The sequence below is a fragment of the Homo sapiens genome, chromosome 7, assembly GCF_000001405.40.
Source record: "Homo sapiens chromosome 7, GRCh38.p14 Primary Assembly".
Lineage (NCBI taxonomy): Eukaryota > Metazoa > Chordata > Mammalia > Primates > Hominidae > Homo > Homo sapiens.
In genome coordinates this window covers 96,394,970-96,414,315 of record NC_000007.14, presented here as the reverse complement: position 1 = coordinate 96,414,315, position 19,346 = coordinate 96,394,970, and the positions used below count along the sequence as shown (strand labels likewise).

General features: G+C 39.4%; 1 long non-coding RNA gene across 4 annotated transcripts in view; it reads right to left on the bottom strand.

Annotated features, from left to right (window-relative positions):
* LOC105375410 (uncharacterized) overlaps positions 1-19,346 on the bottom strand; it is an 86,586-nt gene that overhangs the window by 30,772 nt on the left and 36,468 nt on the right. For 3 of the 4 annotated variants that reach the window (XR_927779.3, XR_927777.3, XR_927776.3), the window contains exons 1-3: positions 9,568-9,778; positions 8,954-9,242; positions 7,909-8,042 (exon numbers count right to left, since the gene is read on the bottom strand). This is a non-coding gene — a long non-coding RNA (uncharacterized LOC105375410). Of the gene's footprint in view, positions 1-7,908; positions 8,043-8,953; positions 9,243-9,567; positions 9,779-19,346 lie in introns of those variants that run through there. The other variant, XR_001745288.2, reaches the window with a different exon arrangement.

Sequence of the window (19,346 nt, the reverse complement as noted above, 5' to 3'; positions counted from 1 at the left end):
TTAAAACACAATGAAAGCTTGAATTTTCTTAGGCATAATTATTTGGTATGAATGTATCTTTTTTATTTTCCATCATTAATGAATTTTTAAAATGTATAGCCAAGCCTTTAAAATCAAGTAGGCCACAGTAATATCACCAGGAAGAGAAAATAAATAATATTATTAAGGAACCAAGAGACCTCTCTGTAGCTGTTGGGAAAATTAAGGAAAGTAGAAACTGAGCCCTATGTATTCATTATTAGAACAAACATTCTCCTCAGTGGAGATTATCGTCAGGATGACAGGTGATCACTAGTGGCCCAGGGCTTTCTAACAGTCCAATGAGGCAAAGCCCAAAGTACAGTCACAAACTCAAGGGACTGAAAAAGCTTTTGGAATCCCCTCATTCATCTCTCTTTTTTAAGCAAAGCCAAACCAACCCACACCAATTATACCAATCTCATCGTTTAAAATTGTCTAGGGAAATGAGTTTATATATTTTGTTGTAGTCCCATCCTAGTAGTTAAAATGTACACATCATCAAAAAGTTTTTTCTAATGCTAATTTAAAGCCCCAGATTAAACTTAAACCTGTATCCCAGGAGGTGGAGAAGGGGAGAGGAGGTGGAGTAAGGAGAGAGAGCAATAATTAATCAATTTCTTCCTTATAATAGCATGTGTTTTCTTGAAGCCCAAGTCTAATTCTATTTATAAATATTTCTTTCCCATTATAAGCAATTCCAGATTGATAGGTTGTTTCAAGTGAGCCATAGTCTCTTCAGTTTTTCATTAAATGTGTTAATAACTCACAGTGCATGTATCTACAGTCACAAAGCAACTTCTTGGGCTTTATCTGTTGTCTTTTACATGTATTCAGTAGAGAATGATGGGTGGTTTGAATATTTGTGGGTAGCTATTCGTGAATATGTTTACTGACTTCCATCATTAAAAGAGTCACAAGTTTCAAGTTAAACTGGAAGTCCTTGGTTTATATTTCCAATTTCTGCAAAGCATATAAAATTTTGAGGTAATGACAGCAGTGTTTCTAGAAATAAGAAACAGTCACCCACGTATCTCAAACAGTGTTTATTACATAGAACAGTTTCTGCTGAAACTACCCCTACCATATTTCATAGAATTCGTTTTCCTCCTTGCCTGGAGTGTCTGTGTCCCAGAATCTGGAATAGCAACTGTATCATCCATGCTGACTCCTGCCTGCAACCTTAACTTTTTAGAGATCAAACTGGCCCGTTGTCTGTGCTGTCACCACAAGTGACAGACCAGCCTTGTGCAGTGCTGTACATCAATTTTCAGTACAAAAATAATAGTACTTCTTCCTTAGCTGCTTGAGTAAAATCAAAGTGAGGGTCTTAAACAACTTAATTTCATCCTTCAGGGGCAAGTCATTCTTGAGCCTACTGTAACTGAAGAGGGATAGGTTGTGGTGTAATTGTTTCCTGCTTAACCATTTTACTGCTATACATCAATTTTACTCTACTTTTGTCTGTATCCAATCATATTTTCAAATATAAGTCATGTGAATATTTAAAGCCCCCTAAAAATGGGACAGAGGAAATTATTCCCAATGAACAAGGATAAGGGATCTGTATTCCTTGAATTTTAAAATAGTCGTGAATCTTAGAAACCCACTATTCCAGCTGGGAATCCAATTACGTGGCTGTCTAAACATTTTTCTTCAAGGAGTCTTTCTAGTCAATAACTATTCTTTCAGAGCATTCAGTTTGGGCCTTTACCAACAAAGACCAAGCATTTTAAAGTCAATAAACAAGGATTTATAATAGGCAGTGCCATTCTGATTTCTAGTAGAACCCAAAACCCTCTCTGTATTTCCATGCCAGATAACACATTTTACTAATATAGATTGTACCAACCTTTCTGATGGCCAATATTAAAAATTAAAATGTGTGTATAATTTGACTAAGGTGTTCACTTTAAGGAATATCATCAATAGAAATTATTGGATGCATACACTAAAATATTTGCACATAGATGTTCATCACATTGTTGTTTATAAAAGTGAATCTTGGCTGGGTGCTGTGGCTCACGCCTGTAACCCCAGCACTCTGGGAGCCCAAGGCGGGCAGATCACAAGGTCAAGAGATTGAGACCATCCTAGCCAACATTGTGAAATCCTGTCTCTACTAACAATACAAAAAAAAAAAAAAATTAGCTGGGTGTAGTGGTACACACCTGTAGTCCCAGCTACTCTGGAGACTGAGGCAGGAGAATCGCTTGAACCTGGGAGGCAGAGGTTGCAGTGAGCTGAGATTGCGCCACTGCACTCCAGCCTAGTGACAGAGTGAGACTCCGTCTCAAAAAAAAAATTATAAAATCTATTTTTCTCTATGAATAATAATAATGTGTGTATTTTCACTATCTATATAGTTACACAAGCTATGAAGCCATTTTTTCAAATGTATGAGCCATTTTTTAACGGTTTTTTTTTTAGTAAAGTGAAAGCAAGTTTATTAAGGAGGTAAAGGAATAAATGAATGGCTACTCAATAGGCAAAGCAGCTCAAAAATGGTTTTCTATTACGGTAAAGAGAGTATATGCATAGAGAAAGCTTCAAAGAAATATGTCAAAATGTTAACAGCAGTTATTTGTGGCTAGGACTACAGGTGAATTTATCCTTCTACTTTATATGTTGTGTGTTTTTTTTTTTAATTTTGTTTTGTTTTGTTTTGTTTTTTTCAGACAGAGTCTCGCTCTGTCACCCAGGCTGGAGTACAGTGGCATGATCTCGACTCATTGCAACCTCTGTCCCCTGGGTTCAAGCAATTCTCCTGCCTCAGCCTCTCTAGTAGCTAGGATTACAGGCGTGCACTACCATGCCCTGCTGATTTTTGTATTTTTAGTAGAGACGGGGTTTTGCCATGTTGTCCAGGCTGGTCTCCAACTCCTGACCTCAAGTGATCTGCATGCCTCAGCCTCCCAAAGTGTTCAGATTACAGGCCTGAGCCACCGTGCCAGGCCTACTTTACATGTTATATCATTTTTTCTGTAAGCAGGTATATCTTTCATAGTTTTAAAGGGCTGTGTTTGGCCAGGCACTGAGGCTCACGTCTGTAATCCCAGAACTTTGGGAGGCCAAGATGGGTGGATCACTTGAGGCCAGGAGTTCGAGACCAGCCTGACTAACATGGTGAAACCCTGTCTCTACTAAAAATACAAAAATTAGCCATATATGGTGGCACATACCTATAATCCCAGCTACTCAGGAGGCTGAGATATGAGAATTGCTTGGACCCAGGAGTTGGAGATTGCAGTGAGCCAAGATCATGCCACTGCACTCCAGCCTGGGTGACAGAGTGAGACTCTGTCTCAAAACTAAATAAAAAATTTAATTAATTAATTAATTAATTAATTAAAGGGCTGTTTTTACTTGGAGGAAAAAGTAGCTCATAAATACCGAAAATATTTTGTTTTATCAGGGTTTTGTTTTCCTCAAAGGAAACTACTCATGTGAGGAAAAAATTCTATGCACAAAATATAAATTTCATATATCAAGAATGATTAAGAAATGGAGTATTATAGCTAACTAAGAGTAACTATACCGACTCTATGTAGGTATAAGGCAAGGTCACATCAAAAGGAACACTACAAAGTGGCTTTCATCCAAACTTTTAAGACCTTCTATTTTTACTGACTGGACCAAAACCAAAAATAGGCGTCTCTCAATCCAGCACAGTAGTCACTAACCTTCATTGCTTGGCTGTAAACATACGGAATTCCTCCACCCTCTTCTCACCCACAGACTCTCTTATATACAAAAACGACTTCAAGGACTAACCAGTGGTATTTATGCTGGGTTTTACAAAGTTGCTGACCAGACTTGTCAGCATAGGAAAGAGGGGCTGAGATCCCTCTCCTCTGGCTTTTTCATCCTAGAATGATACATAACATTTCTTTTGGAAGAAGGGTTGTATGGCAGCAAAAGCAAAGCTATGAGACACACCCTTCTTTTGCAAATAGGAAAAGTGATGCCTAGAGACTAAATTACTTATTCACCAGGATGGAAATGCCAGGATCAGAATGTAGTTTCATGACACTTGCTCTGTTAGTTGCTGTTTACCCAGCACCATCCTGGATTCTCACAAGAAAGAACCCCTTTAGGACAAACAAAAGATCAGACCCAACGAAAGATGAATGTCCTTGTGCCCAGTCTGAGCTATTCGTTTGCTGGCTGAAGAATAAGTGTAAGTGTGTTTTGTCTTCTTAAGGTTCTTATGGAAGGTAGCAAACCAACATATAAAAGTCTTTAAAATAGCTAATGCAAGACCTCTGAACAGCCATTGTGTTAAATGTCACAAGAGATTTTCATCTTAGTATTTAGTGGCTGGCAGGAGATGACTCAGTGTCATGGAATTTAATTTTAAATTGTTTTTAAATAAATTTACGGGGTCCAATAGCAAGTAACTTTGGAAGGTGACAAGGTGGCTTTGGAGATTTGAGAGTTTTTGAAGCCATATATCAAAGGTTGCCTTTGACAGTTATGGGGATTTACTTTGTTCCCTACTCCAATTGTTTCCAAAAGCTCTCAACCATGCTTCCCTGTGCAGGAAAACTAAATTTGGAAGTCTTGCCATCTTTGCCTGCCTGGGACCTCAAAGTATCGAGCCCTGTATGCCTAGAAACTGCTCAAACATTCCTTTCTGGGGGCTGTCATTAAATCCCTGTTTTCTGGATGGAGATACTGAGGGTACAACTATTGGTCAAGGTCACCCAGTAAGTCAGTGGCAAAGCTGGGAATACAACCCAGACTTTCTGACTCCCTTGCCCATCCCCTGACCATCAAACCACATGCTCTTGACCAGGATGAAACAGACTTGTCTGTCTCAGCATTTAGAGTGAGCCGAGTAAAAGAAACTGCAATTTATCCATTTCCATTTCAAACTTTCATGTGTCTCTTATTTCATCAGCTAATAGGCACATCACTCCAGGTCATTCTTCACTCTAAAAAACTTATTTTTTACTAATTTGTCAAAGAAATGCTATCTTAATTTGGAAGAGCATGAGAAACCACTTTTTTTCCCCCGTCATATCACATTGTGTAACACTGGCAGTGTGGCCACTCCAAAAACCCGCAGAAGCTGCTTCCTTTGGTCTGCCGATGGCTGGTTCTTCTGCCAGCTCCTCCATGTGGCCTTCCTTGTATGGGGGTCGGGCGTCCCATGGTTCCTGGCAAAGGAACATCCCATGGACAAGCCAGGGCCTTGACGTGGCTGTTCCTTCTCCTGCTCTTTTGAATGCTCCTTGACCACAAGAGAACTCGATTCTCCTGCCAGCTGTACCCCATATGCCACTTGAAATGTAGTCAGTGGTGACTGTCCAACAGGGCGCCAGCCAGAGTCCAGAGCAACTTTACTAGGGATGAGGGAAAGGCAGTACAACCAGGTCGTGCCAGTGAGAACCATCTCCTGCCAACAACCACAAGGGGAGAGAAGGGTTTTTAATGCCCATGGGTAAACTGTCCCACTTTTTCTCATAGCCTATAAAGATGTTTCTCCCAGCGTTTTATACCTGTCATGTTTGATCATAAATATGTCTTCCTCAAAATGAGCTAACTTGTTTACCCAAAAGGCCTGACTCTATTTTGGGGACAGCTTTCCAAACTCTGGGTTAGGGTGTTTGACCAACTGGTTCCATCCCCTCTCCTGCTGCTGGCAGTTAGTCCTTGTGTTCTGCAATGACTTTGCTCCCTGAAGCTGTCAGTAGAAGCAGGGAGCAGCAGAGATATGAAATCCAGGAAGGAGAGAGATGTGTTGTTATTGTGCTAACGAGGCTCCTCCCGTGAGTTTATTAAATCTGCTCAGTCCAGGCCAAGCATGCCTTGGTCAGAAGAGATTCCCCAAAGTCACCTCTAATTTTAGTACTGCCTCACCAAGAAGTGCGGCCCTGCCCTCACTACCCCAGACACCTGTCCTCTCCCTGTGAGAGGCTCTCAGGGCTAAGTGCATCCCCAGTGACACATAGGGTGGCCCCCAAAATCATTGTTCTAGTACTTAAAATTACAGACAGTTAAAAGGCGGTTCCTGCTTGTCTTTCCCATCACACGTGGCTCCAAATGCATCATGTTATTCCATCCTTCAGCTCTTTCAGCCTGCGCAAGCCATCAAGTGCTATGTTCTCATGAGAAGAAATACGTTTCCCTAATGTGACAGCACTGGATGTACTCCAGGGAGAGTGACAGCTTAATTTTGTTTATTATTCACTCTGAGTTCTAAAGAAGTAAACTTCATTAACTTTTCCAATAAAATACAAAGACTCTATTATTTGCCGTATCCATAAAATTAAACAAGAAAAAAATACTTTGACGTTTCCAAGAAAGCAGGTTCTTTTTTTTTGTTTGTTTCTGTTGCTCTACCCAGATGATCTAGAGGGTGATATGCTTCTGTTGGCCTCTGACCTGTGATAGAAATGCCCAGGTCGGCAGCTCCATGCAATACTCAGCATCAACCTGTTTGCCCATCCATGTATATTTAATGGTCTTCCTGGCATCTTGACTATCAGGACAGAGATGTAACAGCCCTGACTAACATTTTATAGACATGTATTTTCATTTGCAGAGTAATAGAACTATGAAGATAGATGTCTCATTCCAAGTAGTCTCTCAACCAGAAAATAAGAGATCTAAAAATATAATGTGTCCCACAGCAGCCCTGACTTCAGTCACAGATGGGGCTGGAGAGATTGAAGCTCCATGAGTAAGTGCATCACAGTGAGGATGAATCAGCCTGGCCTATCACCTTTCAAATCTGGTAGAAGAACTTACAGACCCAGTTTATACTTGTGTCTTCCTGATTATCTAGATACATGGTGGAAATCTGCTCTTAGGATGAAAGATCATAAGGAAATGTACCTGGAAAAATAATAATTAGAAAACTACTTTCAGTTTTAAAAATAGCTAGAAACTCATATCGAACCCCCAAATTCAATATTGAAGCAGATTGCCTTATTTTTATAACTTATTTTGCCAAAAAACAAGTGATCGTGTGTATGATTGTTTCGGCAAGCACAAGTTCCAGCCTCTAACTGCTCTCAGAAATTAAACAGCTTTCAAAAAGAATAGCGGGCAAGACAATCCAAGAAAGGGGTGTTAAGGCCTTTTGAATTCATTAAAATTTATTTCAAGAATGATAAATCTTCAATGTATGTTAAATTGTATGTTAAACAGTCATCTTTTCTGCTTTGAGAGCAGCATTTGAAGATCTAAAAGTAAACAATGATGTGAAAGTTTCCTTCACAGGGCTTTCTTGTTCTCTTTCCCTCCTAATAAAATGGTGTTTATGGCTTAACATACACAGTAGGAAAGGAAGAACGTAAGTAGGAAAGCAAAAAGAAAATCTACAGACTCCAGGAATAGAACTGTATTTGGAGGTTGAGCTTTAAAAAACGGAAAACTTTGTTTTTCACTTAATTTTAAAATTCTGATAAAATATGTATAACATAGTATTCATCATTTAGGCCATTCTTAAGTGTGCAATTTAGTACCATTAAATGCATTCATAATGTTATATAACCATCACCACTATCTATACCCAAAACCTTTTCATCATCCCTAACAAAACCTCTGTACTCATTATACAATAAACTCCCCATTCCTTCCTTCATGCAGACCCTAACATGTATTCAACTTTCTTTCTCTATGAATTTCACTTTTCTAGGTACCACATATAAATTGAAATCATACAATATTCATCCTTCTGTATCTGATTTATTTCTCTAAGCATAGTATTTTCAAGGTCCATCCGTGTTTTAGCGTATATCAAAATTTCATTCCTAAAAAAGGAAAACTTTTATTTGTAAAGAATAAAAATTTTGATCTGTTTTTTTCTTATTTATAGCCCTTGTTGTCTGGAGTTTGTTATATCTCCATAGAGGGAAGCAGAGGTCTCTTTGGTCTTACCTGGCTTTTGTTAACTGACGATGGTCTTCTGAGTACGTGGAAGTCTTTCTCTATTGCCTGAGAAGCCCAAAGAGGTTCTGGGTTTTGTTTTTATTTTTCTTTCAGATCTTCTGGTATTGTGAACTGACAAACTCCTGTCATAAAACCAAAGGACTGAAAATCTTACATTGAAGCACTTATGGTTAACCCCAAAAGCATTCTTTGTTTTTGGTCCCCCTTCACCTACATATTTGTTGTAATTTTCCCTCAGTTAAATTGGGGAGAGGTACAATGTACAGGCAATGGGCATTTAGCACAACCTATGCTCACAACTCCTGCCTTTTCAATCACATTTTTGTCCAGTATTTCTCAACCTCATGGGGCCAAATGCCACCTTTTACAACAAATATTTTATTAAGCTCCATTTATTTATTCTTAAATGAAATTCACAGACAATATAACCTATAGACACCTATTAATTTTTAAGCCAAAATGATGCTTTAAGCATAAAATAAATGTTAAAAAAAGAAAATAATTTTTAGTAAAATAATATGTATTTCAATATGTAAATGCTTAGAAATAACTACATTGGAAGACATAATGAAGCAGTCAAAAGCTGGCTGTAGATGACAAATTGCTTTTGAATTCAGCAACTACAAATACAAACCAAGATTTATGTGCTGTTTAGACAATTAAAGCCCTTGAACAATTGTCTAACAGTTATGCAAATTTCCAAAACAATGAACAACTTACTTTAAAAAAAGAAAAGTTCTGAACAAAGTACAAAGTTTTATTCCTAGAAAATTTAGGGTGTATTAAAACTGTGTAATAAATACATTGTGTTTGCATGTAAAATGGAGTTAGGCTTTGAGTTTGAATAATTATACACGAGGTTTTCTGAATTCACAACTGCCCAGTTGGACATACAAAAGTCACATGGGACACAGAACAATTCTTCATGGCAAAGGACTATCTCAAACATGCATAATGTTGACCTCCCTGACACTTGCCCAGTAAATGTTAATGTTAGCCCCCAATTAGAGTAATAATCAAAAAATAAACTCACAAATTTAAAAAAATGAACAGAGGGGGATATTTAACTAGCCCAGTCTCTTTAAAGGTGGGAAGCCAGCAGATAATTCCAAGTGCCTCTAAGAACTCCAAAGTGTTTTGATGCACACTGTTTCCAGGGTGGATTCTGAAGAGACAGAGGCCCAGAGACTCTAACATGGAGGCTCCTCTGATGGTCGCAGTTTTTTGGGTGATTTTCTTGTATTCTTGCCCAGACTGTGTAACTGAGATCTTATTCTCTGCTTCCTCTTGAGACACTTCATGCACCACCTATGTCAAGCTCCCTAAATATAGGAAAGTACATGAACAATTTGACTATGGTATGGTGGAAGCTCATGGTCTAAACATTCAAATTACGTCATTAAAGCTGCAAAAAAGGATTAAGCTCTTTCTTCCATTTCGTTTTTCCCTTCTAAGTTCACCCTTAATTGCAGCCTCCTGACCAAAGCTGCAAGTCTGAGCATAGCTCCCAAACTATAAAAAATCCAATAATTTCTTTCTATCTGTGTCTCCAATCCCACCTCCAGCCTGGTTCCATGCCCATACTGCTCTTCTTGAAATTTGCCTAAACCAAACCTACTGGCTTCCTGCATCCTGTGCTGTAGTCACCTGGAATTGAGTTCTTCACTCTCTGAGAGTGCAGCTTCTCAATCACTCCTCGTAAGAGTCCAATCTCACCAAATTTCAAAAATATGTTCTAAAAGAGCAGATTCCTTATATGCCTCCATAGGGTCTAAATTTTTTCTCCAGCCCCCCTCACTTAAGTTATCTTCTAAGATCTTCAAGACAACCCTGTAAAGTAGATCAAGGAGTTGACATTTTATCAATGAGGTCATTGAGATACAGAGAGATTTATTAATTTGCAAAAGTTACAGTTAGGGTCAGACGTGATGGCTCACACCTGTAATACCAGCACTTTAGGAGGCCAAGGTGGGAGGACTGATTGAGGCCAGAATTTGGAGACCAGCCTGGGCAAAAAGTGAGACCCCATGTGTATTAGTCCATTATAGTCCCACATTGCTACAGAGAACTACCTGAGACCAGGTAGTTTATAAAGAAATTAAGTTTAATTGGCCCACGGCTCCACAGGTTGTATAGGAAGCATGGCTTGGGGAGGACTCAGGAAATTTACAATCATGGCAGAAAATGAAGGGGAAGGGAAGCATATCTTCACATGGCCAGCAGGAGAGAGAGAGCAAAGGGGGAAGTGCTATGCACTTTTAAACAACAAGATTTCATGAGAACTCACTGTCACGAGAACAGCAAAAGGGAAATCTGCCCCCATGATCCTATCACCTCCCACCAGGTCCCTCACCCAATACTGAGGATTGCAATTCAACATGAGATTTGGGTGGGGACACAGAACCAAACAATATCATCGTCTTTACCAAAACAAAACAAAGTTACACAGCTAATGAGTTGCACAACTAGGAAAATAACGGGTTTTCTGTTTGCTTATTTGTTTTTATTTTAATTTTTTTTACTCTTAATTCAGTAGGTTTTTCAGTCATCCATTTACTAGCTCTATTAAAATAAAAATCTCTTTGGTGAACTAATTTATATTTACCATTTCCACAGTCGACTGAGATTTAGCAAGTCTCTCAGAAAGCCTTCCTGCTTTTGTTTTTGTTTTTTTTTTGGCAATACAGTTGGAAAGTCCTTCATTTTCTGATCTATCATCATATCCCCAGAAGTGTCTCTGCTCCCCACATGGTTAAAAGTACCCTTCCTTTGACCTTTTCTAGCATTGTTGTTTTTTCTGGATATAGAGAAACCAGAGTTGCTACACTAAGAGATATGTATGTCCTACATTTGAGCACATAAGTACCATAACATTTTCCCTTTTATTTCTGAAGCATATCAGAGGCAAAAGAGCACTTTGGACTTGAGACCCCTTCCCCTGCTCTGAAATCTCACCAAATTTCAAGGCTTAGCTTGAATGCAGCCTCCTCCATTGTATTAGTTGATGTTCTCCAGAAAAACAGAACCAATAGGACATTATACACACACACACACACACACACACACACACACACACACACACACACACATAAATTTATTATGAGAAATCTGCCCATGTGGTTATGGAGTCAGAAGTCCCATGATCTGCCATCTGAAAGCTGAAGACTCGTGAAAGCAAGTGGTATAATGCCAGTCTGAGTCTGAAGCCCTGGGAAATAATGGCATAAGTTCTAGTCAAAGTCCAAAGTCCTAAAAACTAGAGGGGCAATGGTATAAGTTCCAGTCCAAGTCCAAAGGCCTGAGAACCAGGAGGGCAGGTGATGTAAGTCCCAGTCCAAAGACAGGAAAAGACTGATGCTACTGTCCCAGCTCATGCAGTCAGGTGCAGAGAGAGAGAATTATTCTTTCCTCTATATTTTTGCTCTACTCAGGCCTTCAACTGAAAATTATAGTTAATTGCTCACAAATGTTTGCTTTATATTCATTCTTGTTTATTTATTTACTTTTAGGTTTTATCTTTTTTTATTTTTTGAAACAGTTGCATTGAATGATATTTATTTATGTTGGGAAAGGCAATCTTCCTTAATCAAATTTATTTATTTATTTAAATGTTCATCTCTTCCAGAAACATCCTCATAGACACACCCAGAAATGATGTTTAACCAGATATCTGTGCATCAGGTGGCCCACTCAAATGGACACATATAACTAAACATAGCATCTATAAAGCCTTCTTTGAACCTCTAACATAATTCCTTTATTTTACCATAGCACATTTTCTAAAATCTGTTTAGCACTTATTTAATTATGTAGGATATTATAGTTAATTGCTCACAAATGTTTGCTTTACATTCATTCTCATTTATTTTTATTTTTTATCTTTTTAAATTTTTTTGAGACAGGGTCTTGCTCTGTCATCACCCAGACCGGAGTGCAGTGGCTCAATCATGGCTCACCGATGCCTCAAACTCCTGGGCTTACACAATCCTCCTGCCTCAGCCTCCTGAGTAGCTGGGACTATAAGCATGTACCATCATACCCAGATTTTTTTTTTATTTTTATACAGACAGGGTCTCACTATGTTGCCCAGGCTGGTCTCGAACTCCTGGGCTCAAGCAATCCTCCTGCCTCAGCCTTCTAAAGTGCTGGGATTACAGGTATGAGCCACCACTCCCAGCATTCATTCTTATTTATACGTAACACTAAGTTTCACTCATTTCTTTGCCCACAAGTGTTCCTGTATCCCATTTCTTATTACTGAATTTATTTTTCTTCTTTCTGGAGTAAACTCTCTGTGAGAAGGTCTGGGTATGGTAAATTTTTTAAGTCTTATGTGTTTCCATTAGAAAACTTTTGGTTGCAAGTAACAGAGAAATCCATACTCAAATGTTTTTTAAAAGGCAGCTCCATGCACAAAGGTATCACGTAAAGGAGAGGTCCTTTTCATCATCCCACCCTGCCATCCTCCACTTTTCTATTCTGTTCTGAGGTTAAGTCCTCTCTTGGCAATGGATGTCACAGTCCCAGGAATCACAGTCAGTCATGACAATGTCCAGTGGAAGCAGACTCTGCTTCTTCCTCTCTTGATCTCTTTAAAGAAAAGGAGACCTTTCACATAAGCCTCTGGGCAGACTTCTCACATCTATTTGGTCAGGACTAAGTGAACCAGCCCTTTCTATAACCACTTACTGTCAAAAGGAATGGGATTACTACAATTAGAGTAGCCTAACTAAGATTTACCCTTTATTGGGCCAGAAGGTGGGACAAATGACACTATCAATTTGGGATATGGATTATGCATGGTTGGTTGGAGAGCACTTGTGCAAAAGGCTCTCCAGAATGCCCTTAGTCTCTACAGAGAGTTGTGCTTGAAACAGACAAAGCAGGCTGCAGCATGGATAGTGCCCTGGGACAGAGAGCTTGTGCTTGTACTGCGTTTGCATTTATGGGGAAGCTAGGGCAGAACGGAAATACTTAACCAGTCCTGTAGCAATAGGAGTTTCCCATCAGGGCAATGGCCTTGCTGGTGAGAATATGTGGAACTTGGACAGCAGCCATCTAGGGGAAGTTTGCTTTCCAGTTCTGGTGTCCCAAAAGACAAAGTTCCAAACAGCATACTCCCAAATGTTGAAATCCCAAAAGATCAAAATCTCTGAAGTCCAAACTTCCTAATATCTTAAATCCAAGAAATCACTATCACAGAATGGTTGTCTCATGAAGGGCTAGCTCTTATGGACTGTCCAATTCCCCAAAATCTATCCTTGAAATGTGTTTTTTCCGTAAGTCATATTTTCTCCTTAGTTTTTTTCTTTTTCTTTATTTTAGTTTTTTTCACTATTTTAAATTGTCAACACTGCTTTTTACAATTTCTAATGCTCTGTATTTAATCTTCACATTATTTCCAATATTGGAACTAAGAATTATGTAGAAACTTATAGAGAATTCTAATGTTTTATGCAATTTTTTTTTTGCAAATTTGACTTCATGGAAGTGTATTATCACAATGTTGACTTTGTGTGTAAACACTGTGTGTATATGTGAAAATGTTAAAACTTCCTCAATAAATGAAGCACTATTCTTTTTGTAAATCTTCAGTGAAAGAGAAAATTTCTCAAGATCTCAGCTCTTTGGATGACTGTATAACCAGTGGTGACACATCATGATTTATGATCAATCTCATCAAAACACTTAGGTTGTTCATCAAGGTATTTCAGATGACTGCAGTTATAAAAGTGGGTGTACACAACTAGCACTATAGTGATATGTGTTTAGACATTTTCCTTTTTGACCTATTTATGAATATAGTTTATCTGCTCATAACTGTTATACCCATGCAACTGTCATTGGTATATACCTGAGTGTTTATGCTTGCAAAATTATGTATGTTATTATTACCCATTTTACTGGGTAAAGTGGCCTAGGAAGTGTTCTGACATGTTTTTACATGTTTCTCAAAAAAATCCCATTTTAAGAATGTAAATAAATATCTTTTTAATTTTTTTTTAAATTTTTTCCAGAATTATAGTTTGGGGATGTTTATTTTTCAGAATTTCAACATTCAAGGTTTTGGTGTTCAGGATTGTGTCTTTTAGATTAAAATCAACACCCACCTCATAGGTGTCCCTGGTGAGCCAGCCTGTTTGCTAGGATGCCTAAGGAAGTAGGGGCCAAGTCATGGGATGTGTGACTGAGTTTGTCTCGCCTCATCCCTGAATCACATGTACACCTCTATCAAAGAGGACTCTACCAGCAGCAGAGAATACTTGTTTGACTGGACTATGGGGTGTAGTCTATACCATAAATTCTTGAAACCCTCACCACCTATGGCCAAATCTTTATTCTAAACTCAAAAGTTATTTTCCTTCAATATTGAAGATTTTGCTTGATTATCTTTTTTCATCCATTATTGCAGATGAAAAATCTGTGGATTTTCAGTTTAATTATCTAGAGTAGCTTTTTAATTTTCTCTTTTCTTGAATGAGCCAAAATGTCATACATTTGTGTGCATTTGTGAAGTTGTTTCATTCTGTTTGGCACATAGTGTTAACTTTCAATCTGAGAGCTCATTTCATTCTTCAGGTGTTATTTCTTTTATTTATTTAAGGATCTGCTTCATTATCTCTATTTTATTCCTCCAGACCCACCTTAGGTAACCACATATCATTAAAGAGACTTCAAAACATGCAGACATTTCATTCAGGTTTCTTAATTTATCTTGTATATTTATCATCTATTTATTCCTTTGTGCTCTATTCTATAACAATAGAATACTTGGCCCCAATTTCTAACTCACTACACTTAGCTCTTTAGTTTTGACCTTTCTACTGCTCAGCCTAATATTGTTTTTTTTTACTTTATTATTGAAATATAACATAAGTACAGAAAAGTGTATGAACCCAAACTATACAGGTGAGTAAAGAATCACAAGTGAGCCTGTATGGTGTCTCACATCTGTAATCGCAGCACTTTGGGAGGCCAAGGTGAGAGGATAACTTGAGTCCAAGAGTTTGAGACTGGCCTGGGCAACATAGCAAGACTCCATTCCAAACAACAACAACAACAACAAACAATCATAAAGTGAACCCAGCTGTGAAACCCTCACAGCTGAAGAAAGAGGTCTGGGCCAGGAATGTTTTCTTTGCTCCATTAGAGTATAGTGTACGTTTCTGATACGGCAACTTAGTGAAGTGAAAAAACAAAGAGAAAGTGGAAAGTACTACTAGAATCATCTTTAATTTAGTTTGCAATTAAGGCAAGTGCACATTCCATAGGAGCAGACATTCTGGTCCTGAGACAAAGAGTTTGTTCAAATGACAGAGCCCTGAGATCCTCTATTTCTACAAAGATCTAGTTCACTCTGATATTGCTGACAACATTCCTAATTATCTCCCTTCACTTGTATGATTACTTTCTTCACCCCTTTTCCCTATCATATCAGTTCATACTATTTTATGGAAAAACCCAATCAAGGCAACATTTTTCTGAAATGTCAACCTAAAAGTAAGAAGCTGAGACAAAATTAATACAGAGTTTTTTGAGGCTAAAGTTGAAGACTGCAGCCCTGGACACACTTCCAAATTGCTTTGGGGAGTCCTCCAGAAAATAAAACAGACGTTCACTTTTAAAGAAAAAAGGACAAATCAGAAGAAGGGCGATTACAAAAGTTGTTTGTCAAAAATGTTTATTGGGACGAGGCAGGGCAAGATGGCTGAATAGAAGCCTCCACCAGTTGTCCTCTCCACAGGAACACCAAATTAAACAACTATTTATGCAGAAAAGCACCCTCATAAGAACCAAAAATCAGGTGAGCAATCACAGTACCTGGTTTTAACTTCACATCGCTAAAAGAGGCACTGAAGAGGGTGGAAAAGATAATCTTGAATTGTCGACACCACCCCTCCTCCATCCCCTGAGCAGCAGCCATGTGATACATAGAGAGGGAATCTGTATACATGGGAGAGGGAGAATGCAGTGATTGTGGGACTTTGCATTGGAATGCAGTGCCGCCCACGCCAGCCAGAACTCAGTCTGCACCCATGGAGGAAGCACTGGGTCCAGCCTTAACCAAAAAAGAATCACCCATCCCAGTGGCTGGAACTTGAGTTTCGGCAAGCCTTGCCACTGTGGGCTGAAGTACTCTGGGGTACTAAATAAACCTGAACAGCTATCTATGCCACAAGGACTACAACTCCTAGGCAAGTCCTAGTGTTGTGCTGGGCTCAGAGCCAGTGGACTTGGAGAGTGTGCAGCCTAGTGAGACACCAGCCGGGGTGGCTAAGGGAGTACTTGAGCCACCCCTCCCCCGATCCCAGGTAGTGCAGCTTGCAGCTCAAAAAGAGATCCCTTCCTTCCGCTTCAGGAGAAGAGAAGGAAGGGCAAAGAGGTCTTTATCTTACAACTTAGATCCAAGCTCAGCCACAGTAGCATACAGCACTGGGCAGAGTCATAAGGCCCCCATTCCAGGCTCTAGCTCCCAGATGAAATTTCTAGATACACCCTGGGCCAGAAGGGAATCCACTGCCTTGAAGGAAATGACCCAGTCCTGGCAGGATTCATCACCTGCTGAGTAAAGAGCCCTTGGACCCTGAATAATCAGCAGTGGTAATCAGATATTACATGCCATGGGCCTTGGGTGAGACTCTGAGACATGTTGGCTTCACATGTAACCCAGCACATTTACGGCTGTGGTGGCTATGAGGAGAGACCCCATCTGCTTGAGAAAAGAAGAGGGAAGAGTAAGGGGGACTTTTTCTTGAGCTTAGGTACAAGCTCAGTCACGGTGAAGAGCATCAAGAGGGCTCTTGGGGTCCCCAGCTCTAGGCCTTGGCTCTTGGATGGATCTCTGGATCCCTGGGCAAGAAGTAAGCCCACTTCCCTAAAGGGTGAGTCCTGGGCTTGGCAGCATTAACCCCAAGCTGACTAAACAGCTCTTGGTCCTTAAGTGAACATTGGTGGTAACCTGACAGTACTCCCCGTGGGCCTGTGGTGGTTGTAGAAACATGGATAGACTCCTCTGCCTGGGGACAGGGGAAAGAAGAATGGGAAAGACTTTGGTGGTTTTGGTCCCAGCTTAGCTGCAGTAGAATACAGCACCAGGTAGGCTTCTAAGGATTCTGACTACAGGCCCTGGCCTCTAGACAGCATCTGTGGACCCATCCCAGGTCTGGGGGAACTTGGGATGCTTAAAGGAAGGACATAAGCCTGACTGGCTCCACCACCTGCTGATTATAGAGCCCTAGAGCCTTGAGCGAACATAGGCAGTAGCGAGGTGGTGGTTACAGTGGGCCTTGGGCAAGGCCTAGTGCTGTTCTGGCTTCAGGTCAAATCTAGTGCAATCCCAGTGTTGGTGGCCACAGGAATGCTTGTGTCACCCCACCCCCAGCTCCAGGTGGCTCAAAGAAGAGAGAGAGACTTTGTTCATTTGGGAGAAACTAAGGGAAAAGAACAAGAGTCTCTGCCTGGTAATCTGTAACATTCTTGCAGGTATTATCCAAGAGCACCAAGGTGATACCTCTACGAGTCTGCAAAAACCACAGCATTACTGTGCTTGGGGGTGCCACCTAATGCAGATATGGTTGCAGTGAGCAAAAACTTAGATTGCAATACCCAAGTCTCTTAGAATATCTGGAAATCTTTCCCAAGAAGGACAGGTACAAATAAGCCCAGAGTGCAAAGGCTACAATAAATACCTAACTCTTAAATGCCAAACACAGATGAATACACACAAGCTTCAAGACCATCCAGGAAAACATGGTCTCACCAAACAAACTGAATAAGGCATCAGGAACCAATCCTGGAGAGAAAGAGATATGTGACCTTTCAGACAGAGAATTCAAAATTTGAGGAATTCATATTTGAGGAAAGTCAAAAATTTCAAGATAACACAGAGAAGGAATTCAGAATCCTATCAGATAAATTTTAGATAGAAATTGTAATTATTAAAAATAATCAAGCAGAAATTCTGGAGTTGAAAAATGCAGAAGAATGCATCAGAGGTTTTTTTGTTTGTTTTTGTTTTTTGAGACAGAGTCTCACTCTTTGCTCAGGCTGGAGTGCAGTGGCATGATCTCAGCTCACTGCAACCTCCACCTCCCGGGTTCAAGCGATTCTCCTGCCTCAGCCTCCAAAGTAGCTGCGATTACAGGCATGTGTCACAATGCCTGAATAATTTTTGTATCTTCAGTAGAGATGGGGTTTCACCATGTTGGCCAGGCTGGGCTCCAACTCCTGACCTCAGGTGATCCACCCAACTCGGCCTCCAAAAGTGCTAGGATTACAGGCATGAGCCACCACGCCCAGCCTAGAGTATCTTAATAGCAGAATTGATCAAGCAGAAGAAATAATTAGTAAACTTGAAGACAGGCTATTTGACAATTCACAGTCAGAGGAGACAAAAGAAAAAAGAATGAAAAAGAATAAAGCACACCTGCAAGATCTGGAAAACAGCCTCAAAGGGGCAAATCTAAGAGTTACTGGCCTTTAAAAGGAGGTAGAGAGAGAGATAGAAGTAGAAAGCCTATTCTAAGTAATAATAACAGAAAATTTCCCAAACGTAGAGAAAGATATTAATATTCAAGTATAAGAAGGTTTTAGAACACTAGGCAGATTTAATCCAAAGAAGACTGCCTCAAGGCATTTAATCATTAAACTCCCAAAGCCCAAGGATAAAGAAAGGATGCTAAAATCAAGAGAAAAGAAACAAATAACCCACGATGGAGCTCCAATACATCTGGCAGCAGACTTTTCAGTGGAAACCTTATAGGCTAGGAGAGAGTGGCATGACATATTTACAGTGCTAAAGGAAAAACGCTTTTATCCTAGAATAGTGTATCCAGTGAAAATATCCTTCAAAAATGAAGCAGAAATAAAGAAGACTTTCCCAGATAAACAAAAGCTGAGGGATTTCATCAACACCAGACCTGCCCTACAAGAAATGCTAAACTGAGTTCTTTAATCTGAAAAAAAGGACATTAATGAGCAATAAGGAATCATTCAAAGGTAAAAAAATTCACCGGTAATAATAAGTACACAGAAAAACAAAGAATAGTATAACACTGATTGCAGCGTGTAAATGACTCATATTTGAAATAGAAGATGAAAAGATGAATAACATATAATAACTACAACTTTTTAAGACATAGGCCATACAATAAGATACAAATAGAAACAACAAAAAGTTAAAAAGCAGGGGTATGAAGTTAAAGTGTAGAGATACTATTAGTTTTTTCTTTGCTTATGCAATCAGTGCTAAGTTTTCATCAGTTTAAAATAATGAGATAAGATAATATTTGCAAGCCTCACGGTAACCTCAAATAAAAAAGAACATGCAATAAATACACAAAAACAAAAAGCAAGAAATTAAACAACCACCTGAGAAAATCAGATCAGAAAATCACCTTCACTAAAAGGAAAACAGGAAGAAAAGA